Source organism: Homo sapiens, chromosome 18, assembly GCF_000001405.40.
Source record: "Homo sapiens chromosome 18, GRCh38.p14 Primary Assembly".
Taxonomy (NCBI): Eukaryota; Metazoa; Chordata; class Mammalia; order Primates; family Hominidae; genus Homo; species Homo sapiens.
The window spans coordinates 55,076,371-55,086,489 of NC_000018.10; the positions used below are offsets into that span (position 1 = coordinate 55,076,371).

Consider the following 10,119-nt stretch of genomic DNA (forward strand, 5'->3'; position numbering starts at 1 on the left):
GTCGCCCAGGCTGGAGTGCAGTGGCATGATTACAGCTCACTGCAACTTTGAGCTCCTGGGCTCAAGTAATCCTCATGCCTCAGCCTCCCAAGCAGCTAGGACTACAGGCACACACCACCACGCCCAGCTGATCTTTAAATTTTTTGTAGAGATGGAATCTCACCATGTTGCCCAGGCTGGTCTCAAACTCCTGACCTCAAGAGATCCTCCAGCCTTAGCTTCCAAAGTACTGGGATTACAGGAGTCAGCCACCATGCCTGGCCCAGACATTGTTTTTGATAGTACAGTCTTTGTTTTTCTACTGTCTTCCCAAAAGCCAGAGTTACAAAGTCTGAAAACTTAATTTTCCAGAGTCCGGGGTCAGTGGGTCCCTGGTTGGATTCCACCCAGGAGAGCCCTTGTGTGGGATTGGCTGCCCTGTGGCTGCAGCCAAGCCGAAGCACAGACTGCAGGCTGCAGATGGAAGGTTCTGCCTGTGGTTTCCAGGAGGCTTCCAAAGAATGACCTCGTTGGCTGAGACCAATGGAGTCAGCTTCCCTACAATCCTTGTGTTTCCAGAAATCTTGGTATTTACTTTCCCAGACTCTATTTCTGCTTCAAACCTGATAGGCATTTCCCAACTGAGGATGTTAAGTTCCCCTGGCCTGTGAGCATCACTATGACCGAAACTCACCTATCAGGTTGGACACCTTCAGTTACTCCAGCCTGAACTGAGCTGACTTTTATTACCGACCTCCCTGACAGTTTTACACATTGTGATTCTCCTGCTCCCCAGCAAGGACAGAATTAGAAGCATATAATTCCACGGATTCTCCCAATTCCCTTTTTCTACTGCTGTGGTTCCAATGCACATCATCCTCAAAGCCAAGTTGATGGCGACAGGCAGCCAACATCAAGTTCAATACTCACACGAAGGAACTTTGTAAACTTTACAAACTGCAAAGTGCTAGTAAAAATTAACTCTTCTCTTTGATTGCATGAACCACTGTCCAATTTTGTCCCTAGAAACCTGGCTCATAAAATGAAATTTAAAAGGATATATTTACTTAGTAATTAATGTTAGGAAAGTATCAAACACAAGCTCAACACATTAATAGGTGTGGATCTCTAGCGATTCTATTTAAACAATACTAATGTTGCAGATTTCGGTTTACTCTGTCAAATTTGATATAAGCAGCCATTTCTGGCAAACGTTGCTGATATTCAGTTAATATAAACACTAACCAGGTCTTCTCTTCAACAGGAAGAGTTTTAGATTGAGTTTGATGGGTACAATACTATGTGGAAAATAATAAGAAGACGAGGAGAAAGCAGAGTTGGAGCAAAGAGCAACTTCAAAAACAGGGAGTGATACCTACTGTCGCAGGTCATGGCAGAGCCATAATGTCCAGAGGGAAAGAGACAGATGGTACACAGAAAGATGGAAGGGTGCACATCTTCCATCTGAGGGGGCTGTGTTCATTGAGCTCCAGCCAGAAGTGGCCAAACAGGAATGTGGGCCTAGTGTAGCTGGACATTCCAATTTTCTCAGAGAAGTTGGAAATCCATTTTTAAGTGCTTTATTAAAAACATTCACACATACATGTGAATATATACACATATATACACACATATATACATTTATATATTTGTATATCACATATATAAATTATGTATCACATTTATATAAATATATATTTAAATATCACATATATAAATGTGTGTATCTATATATACACACACATATAAATTTATATCACTCTTAAAATATTGGCAACTAAATTTTATTTTATTAATAAATTTAATAAATAAACTTTATTAAATAAAATAGGGCCTACAATGCAAAATACATCTGCAATTTCTGACTTTATGAATATCTTAAGGTTTGAGATATATTTATTTAAAGAAGATATAATAAAAGGACCATTAGGAGACAGGAAACTGTGGATGAAAAGAATTATCCTTTCTTAAATATTTGCTAAGCATTGTATTAGGCTCAAGGCATGCATTATTTCACTTAAAGGAAGAATGCTATTAAGAGTCGGGGTGGAAAGCAAATAAAAGAAGGAGGAAAGAAAAAAAGTGAAAGGTCCTGACAGAGCGTTCTGGAATGTCACATTCATCACTGCAAGGGTCAGCCTACAAGAGAAGCTCAGGCCTGACTGAGGAAGCGATTTCTAGGGCAGGAAAAGCAGCAGCCTTCTAATGAAAACTTGGCTAGTGTGTTTATTAATTTATTTCCTTCACATGTTTACTTTTATTTTTAGAATAACTGATATACTTGGAATCCTAATATATCATCCCTTCGGGAATTAAAGCCTGTAGCTTCCTGTCTTCAAGGCTCTGATTAAATTTAAACGAAGTTCATTGTCATGTCTTGTCCATGTGTCTGCGACCTGGAGTCCTGGCCCGTTAGTCTCTCTCCCCATTACTGCTGCCCTGAAGGGCTCCTTCAGCATGCAGCAGGGAAGCGGGGCTTGGTAAAAACAGTCCAGGGCCACTGGTGGGGTCAGGTCCATGGAGGGAGTAGGATGTATGCCAGCCACCCTAGCCTCTCCATGGCAACCCCACTGTGGAGAAGTGGATGGGACCCCCAGCCCACTCTTCACCCCTAGTGCCTCCTGTCTGATTTCATATTTAATGCTGGGGAGTGCATCCGTTTCCTAGGACCGCTGTAACAAAGTACCAAATACTAGTGGCTTCAACAATAAAATGTTTTATTGCAACAGAGGCTAGAGCCTGAGATCAAGGTTCGTCTGGGTTGGTTCCTCCTGAGGCCTGAGAAGGAATCGGTTCCATGTTTCTTCCCCTCGTTTCTGGTGCTTTGCTGCCAGTCACTGGCCTTCCTAGGCTTGGAGAATCATCACTCCAACCACTGCCTTCTTCCTCACATAGCCTTCTCCCTCTGCGCATGTCTGTGTCCGGATTTCCCTGTTTTATAAAGACACCACTCATAACTGGATTGGGACCTACCCTCCCTAATGACCTTAACTTAACTAATTACACCTACAATGACCTTATTTGCATATTGGGCCTCATTCAAAGGTACTGGGACTTCAACCTATGATTTTCGGGGGACTCATTCAACCCATAACAGGGAAGAAGTCACTTGTAGATGCTAGAGACAAAATAGAAGTTGCAACCCTGAGAAGAGTGACTAGGGTTGAGGTTCACCGCAGTTCTGAATTATTCCAGGAGAAAAATACCAATATCTGGGAGTGAGAAACAATTCAGAAGCTCCCCGGAGCTCCTGCACAGTCCAGGGGCATTGGGAGAGCCTTCCAGGAATGAGCACTGTCTCACCGCGCAGCCACAGGGCTGTCTCTGGTGCTGAAATGCCCTGGCCTCCCTTGCCTAGCCCACCTTCCCCTAAGAAGGCACGACAGCCACCATTCCTGCACCCAGAACAAACTCATGAAGGGGCTGAGTGCTGCTCTTCTGAGAGCTGATACGGCAATTCCTCCACCCCAGGTGGTTGTCAGCTGGGAGGAGGCATCGCCAACAGCCTGCTTCGTGTTTAATTTGGCCAGCTCTGTAACACATCTCTTACTTCTAGCTATTTGTCTTAAAGGAATGGATAGGCGCTTCCACATCAAGCCACAAAAAAATTCGTCTCTAGTCATTACGTATTTATTTTTAGGCCTTTTGAAGTGAACTCTCTTCTCCATCAGATGCCCCTAACTAGTCGGAAACTGGGTCCCTGCCTGCACTCTGTGAATTCCTTCCGGAGCACTCCTTTTGGTTGCTTCCAAGCAGAGCTGAGGGAGGCGCCTGGGCAGTAAGACAAACAGACCTGGGTGGGCTCCAAGCCCTCTGGCAGCGCTCTCCCAGCCTCCCTGCTTTCTGAGCTATCACAAACTCTTCCAAAATCATCCCAGCCTGCTGTCATAACACAGACCCAGCTCGCTACTCACTCAAAAGTACAGCATCTAGACATGCTTCGTGCAGCCCAGAGAATCCCTAGCAGCCAGGAGAACCACATGGGATATTCTTACATCTCACTCCTGACTTTGGGCCAGAACGTGCCTATATTAATATTTCAATTACTACATGCAGTTATCCTACTGCACATCTATAGCTATGCCCAGGGCAGAGAGTGTTTGACCTATAAACCTAGTTCATGGGTTCCCATTCACATTTCTAAGCCAGACTCTCTTAATTTTGAATTTGAGAGCGTTCAATAGGGAACAGGGCCAAAGTTTATCTTTCAGATCCTACCTAAAACTTTAGTAATACAAATTGATAATGCCAACAAGATGTAAACTGTTTGGATTCATTTCTTAAGATTTTCGAAACAAAGTACCATATACTGGGTGACTTAAAACAACAGAAATTTAGTCTCTCACAGATCTAGAGACTGAAAGTCCAAAATCAAGGTGACGGTAGGGCCGTGCTCCCTCTCAACTGGAGTGGGGAAGACTTCCTTGCCTCCCTCACTTCTGGTGGTGGCTGTAGAGCCTCAGTGTTCCTTGGCTGGAAGCTGCACTGCTCCAGTCTCTGCTTTGCTATCACATGGCATGCCCCACTCTCTGTTTCTGGGCCCAAATTTCCCTCTTCTTATAAGGACACCAGTTATATTGAATTAGGGCACACCCTAATGGCCTATCTTAACTCAATTACATTTACAAAGATCCTACTTCCAAATAAGATTATATTTATAGGTACTAGGGTTTAAGACTTAATACATCCATTGGGTGGACACAATTCAACCCATAACACTATTTGTCAGTAAGAAGATGATCACTTCCAAAAACACACATTTAAATACTGACAGTAGGCATGCAAACTAAAAACAACTGGGCTCAGATGACCCCAATGGCTTCCTGTTATCTACATAATATAGACATAGCAGTGTCTATGCACCTCATCATTCTCATCTTCTGGATCTAGCTGATGTGAAATCTTATCATTTTTGTGAGCACCTATTAGGCTTTTCTACCTCTGAGACCCATTCCTTGGAAGGTATTTTTGTTTTTGTTTTTGTTTTTCTGTTTTGTTTTCACACACCAACATCTTTTGAGATCTCATTCAAATAATATTTCTCAGCTCACACCTGTAATCCTAGCACTTTGGGAGGTTGAGGCAGGTGGATTGCCTGAGTTCAGGAGTTCAAGACTGAACTGGCCAACATGGTGAAACCCTGTCTCTACTTAAAATAGAAAAATAAACAAATAAATAAGTTAGCCAGGCAAGGTGGTGCACATCTGTAGTCCCAACTACTCAGGAGACTGAGGCACAAGAATCCCTTGAACCCAGGAGGCGGAGGTTGCAGTGAGCCAAGATCACATCACTGCACTCTAGCCTGAGTGACAGAGCAAGACTCTGTCTCAAAAAAAAAAAAAAAAAGAAAGAAAGAAAGAAAGAAAGAAAAGAAATAGTATTTCAGCTTAAGCAGTTAGAGTGTCTTTACGTATGCTGAACCTCAGTTATCCAGGTATTACTATAGAGCACAACCCAAAATAAGAAGGGGAAAAGACCATTTAGTAAAAACCACTCTAGGTATTAAAAAAAACCCTCCATTTTTATGAGCTGTTCTAATAAGTTTGGGCAATTGGTTTTCTATATCTCAACAAAATGAAAGAATCAAATTTAAAAAGGCCATGGTGATGTTGGAACAAATGGATATCCATATGTGGAAAAAAAAATGAACCTCAAACTACAACCTTTACATCTCATACAGAAATTAACTCAAAATAGATCATAGATCTAAATGTAAAACATGAAATTATAAACATTTTAGGAGAAAACATAAAAGAAAATTTTTATGGTATTGGCTTAAGCAAAAAGTTCTTAGCTACAACACCAAAATCACCATCTATAAAAGAGGAAATTGAGAAACTGGACTTCCACAAAATTAAAACCATTTGCTCTGCAAAGGATAATGTATAGAGAATGAGAAGAGAGGCTTTAGACTGAGGGAAAATATTTGCAAATCATACATCCAACAAAGGACTTATATGCAGAATATATAAAGAACACTTAAAACTCAACAATAAATAAGCCACCTATTTTTTAAAATGGGCAAATAATTTGAAGAGACACTTCACCAAAGAAGATACATGGTTGGCAAATAAGCACTTGAAAAGATACTCAACATCATTACTCATTGGGGAAAATGAAAATTCAAACCACAGTGAAATATTCCACCACACCCATTAGAATGGCTAAAATTTTAAAGTACTCCCAACACCAAGTGATGCTGAAGATGATCTCTCATATATTGCTGGTGAAAATGTGAAATGGGGGCCAGGCATGGTGGCTCACGCCTGTAATCCCAGCACTTTGGAAGGCCAAGGTGGGTGGATCACTTGAGGTTAGGAGTTCGAGACCAGCTTGGCCAACATGGTAAAACCCTGTCTCTACTAAAAATACAAAAATTGGCTGGGCATGGTGGTGCATGCCTGTAGTTCTAGCTACTGGGGAGGCTGAGGTGGGAGAATCACTTGAACCCGGGAGGCGGATGTTGCAGTGAACCGAGATCATGCCACTGTGCTCCAGTCTGGGCAACAGAGTGAGACTCTGTCTCAAAAAAAAAAAAAAAAGAAAAAGAAAAAGAAAAAAGAAAATGTAAAATGGCATAGAAGCTCTAGAAAACAATTCCTTAAAAAGTTAAAGCATACATGCATTTACCAGGTGACCCAGCAAGCATACTCCTGGGTATTATTCTACAGAAATGCAAAACTTCACATAAAAACCTACACAAATAGCAACTCTATGTATAATTACCCAAACTAGAAATAACCCAGATGTCCTTCAGTGGAGAATGATAAGCAAAGTATTGTATATCCCTGTAATGGAATACTACTCAGTAGTAAAAAGGAATGACTTCTTTATATATACAACGATGTGTATAAATCTCCAAAGGCATCATGCTAAGTGACAGGAGTCAGTCTCAAAAAGTTACATACCGTGTGATTCCATTGATATGACATCCTCTAAAAGACAAAATTGTAGTGACCGAGAAGAGTTCTGAGAGTGTCAGAGTTTAGGGGGAGGGGGAGGGTGTGACTTCAAAGGGATGGTACAAGGGATATTTTCGGCAGCGATGGAACTGCTCAGAGTCCTGACAGTGGCAGTGGTTGCCCAACTCTACACACATCTTAAAATTTATAGGCTTGTATACCCCAAAAAGTCAATTTTGTGTATGCTATTTTAACAAATAAAATTTTAGGAAACTGCACTGAGCAGCTAGAGATATGACTTTCCTGGTGGTTGTTGATAGCTGATAGGCTAAATGAGAAAGAGGATACTACAGCCATCCTGGACTGCAAAGTGAAAAATTAAGCAGCCCAACACATCCCCACAATCCTGTGGTCATCCTTGCATTCCCGCACAGTGAAGACATGCTGCATGCTAATTCAGTAGTAATGGTAGCTACATTGTTTCAGCATGGAATTTTTATTTTCTGAAAAATAAATGTATGTATGTGTGCATGTGTATGTTTCAGGATTTCATTGATTCACTTATGTGCCTTTAGAGCCAGAATTTCCATAGGACAATTTGTGACAATAGATCCTTAGGCCAAGATGTCAAGGTACTAACTCAGTGTGATTTATACCACCAATCTGGGAGAAAGGAAGTCATAAGCCAAAGAAAACTCTAGGTCAGAGGCAGGAGACTCTGGTCACCTGAATTGATTGCATGGACTCAAGGGTGAAGCACACAAAAGGCTGTAAGAAAAGTGTCCCAAATGGGAGCACATGAAACCAGAGGATGTGCAGCCATGGCCAGAGTCAGTCCTGGAGCAACTCTTTCCTTCTTCCCTGAGCCACCTGGTTTGCTCTCACTAGACTGACAATGGGATTGGTTTTGTTTTTGTTTTTTGATTTTTTAATAAATGGCAGTCTCCTGCCAGACTGGCCTGGAGGAACACAGTAAATGTTTTTTTTAGCCAATTTCTATGCCAAATGACTAATATTAATATTTTTAACTCATAATAGGATACACTTCATTTCTTGACAAAACTACTTATGAGGAATAGCTCAGTTACTGAGAAAGCCAGATAATTGATATGTTTCTGTCTCTGCCTTGTCATTTCTATAATGGCAGGATAATGAAGTATTATTTAGCTTAACACAATCACTTGAGCTTCTCTATGGTCTTGGAAGGAATAGACACAAGCTAGGAACCTTTTTAAAGTATAATCAGTTTCTTATACAAGATTATATAAATAAAAAGTGGAATTAATTTAAATGACAAGTGACCCATTATTTATCTTCATTATGTCCTAGGACTGGTGGTTCCATGGAAATGAGTCAACCAAGAACATTTCGTTATTATAGAGACTGAGAGAATTTAGAGTAGATCTATATAAAATAATCTTTTAAATAAGATTAGGGTTAAAGTGCATTATGAAGCTTTATATATTTCATAAGACAGTAAAACTCAGTTAAGTGGGAGAAAAAAATAAAAGTAAATAACATTTAATAGGACAAGGATAGTAAGTCAGAGTGGACTTTTCATTGACTCACATGAGGTCTCTGTTTCAACTCCACCATCTGGCATTTTGCATTTGTCTCTCTGCAACATACTTTCTAAAGGAGTGGACTGATTTTTAACCAAATTCAATACCCTCCCTAAGGAAGAGTAATGAGATACAACTCCAATCCCTTTTGCAGCTCAGTTCTTTTCTTGCAACAGCTGATAAAATCCTGTAAAACAATCTTATAAAGAAATTGTACCAATTTGTTTTGCAAATAACTGCTTAATATTAATATTAACAATATTAATATGTGTGTGAAATATTATGTGTATGACTGTGGCTTATTTGCAAATTAGGTTTACTACTGTATCTGTGAACTGGGAATCTCACTTGGAGTAAGTACATTCTGTATTTTAGCAGCCCTTTCCACATGATTAGGGACAAATCTGTTGAAACAAACAAAGAAATAACAACTTTAAAACTTGCCAGACAATTGGAGGAATGTAGATTTCAGCTATGGGACAGGATTCCCAAAGGGTTAGTGATTTCTCCATAACTAGATGATTCTTTATAACTAATGGTTGGGAGAACTAGTGAAAATTAAAGCAGAAAAAGTGAGTTGTACCTATTGGAAAATCAGAGTTTCAAGAAGATAAATAAATGAATGAAAGTACTGGTGATTAATCTATACCAACAACAATGAAGCAATTGATAATGAAACATTTCAGGCTCTTTAACCAAGTTATCAAATAAAATCCTTCTCCAAGAGGTCCATTAGTTAGGATGCAGCCTTCATGTGGTCCAGTGGGATTGTTGAGTGGGAGCATAACTTGTGTTCTCTACAGAGATAGAAATAGTTACACTTTTCAGGTCCAGGGTCATAGCAAAGGAAAGAAATAGTCATCAAACATGTCTTCAAAATGAATGTAAATTCCAGGAAGTGTAAGCTACAAATTGTGAGGCATGAAATTGCAAAGGGAAAGTTACTGCAAGGGAAGAAAGGTGTTGATTGTTCGAGACTATAAACTGCGGTGCAGTCATGTTAATTAGGGGTTTCCACTAAATTTTCTGGGTTATTTTGAAAATGTGCAAATGTGGCACAGTATACCAGTTTGATCTTTTAAACTGAATCCTAGAATTAGAATAGTAAACCCAGTGAACATAATGCATCTGAATTTAATAAAACACCCAAAAGTAAAGTGTTTCCCTAAGATGTGATTCGAAGAATTGGATTGAACTGGGTGGGATGGAGGCCAGTCACAGAAGTGGAACTTTGGCCAGCGGTCCACATGCAGTGGGGAATGTAACCACCCACTGTGAGGAAGTGGGGAACAGCAGAATAGGGTGAAGGGCTGTTTACACCCAAATATTCAGGAGTGGTTTTGAAAGGTTCCAAAAGTATATATATGTAAAATAATTACCCATAGAATGCAAAATGGGAACAGAAAGCTGTTAGTTCCTTAGGGATGGCAACAAATTTACACATTCCTTCTGGACAGGGCTATGGAAAAGATGCAAATTCTATATTTTAACTTAATCTATCCTTAGCCACATCACCCCAGTTCTGTATTCTTTGAGTGCTTCCAACAGCCTATCTTATTATTTATACTTTGAACCATGCCAGTTTACATTTAATATTATTATCTCATATGTATTGAGTGCTTACACATACAGGGCATTTTAAACTTATTTAATACTTACTATAGCACTATGAACTA

General features: G+C 40.1%; 1 long non-coding RNA gene across 1 annotated transcript; it reads right to left on the reverse strand.

The window, feature by feature from the left end:
* Nucleotides 1-2,679: 2,679 nt before the first annotated feature.
* LINC03035 (long intergenic non-protein coding RNA 3035) lies at nt 2,680-9,222 on the reverse strand. The gene is made up of 2 exons (XR_935478.3): nt 8,451-9,222; nt 2,680-2,910 (listed from the first exon to the last, which is right to left on the reverse strand). It is a non-coding gene; the product is annotated as a long intergenic non-protein coding RNA 3035 (long non-coding RNA).
* Nucleotides 9,223-10,119: the final 897 nt, after the last annotated feature.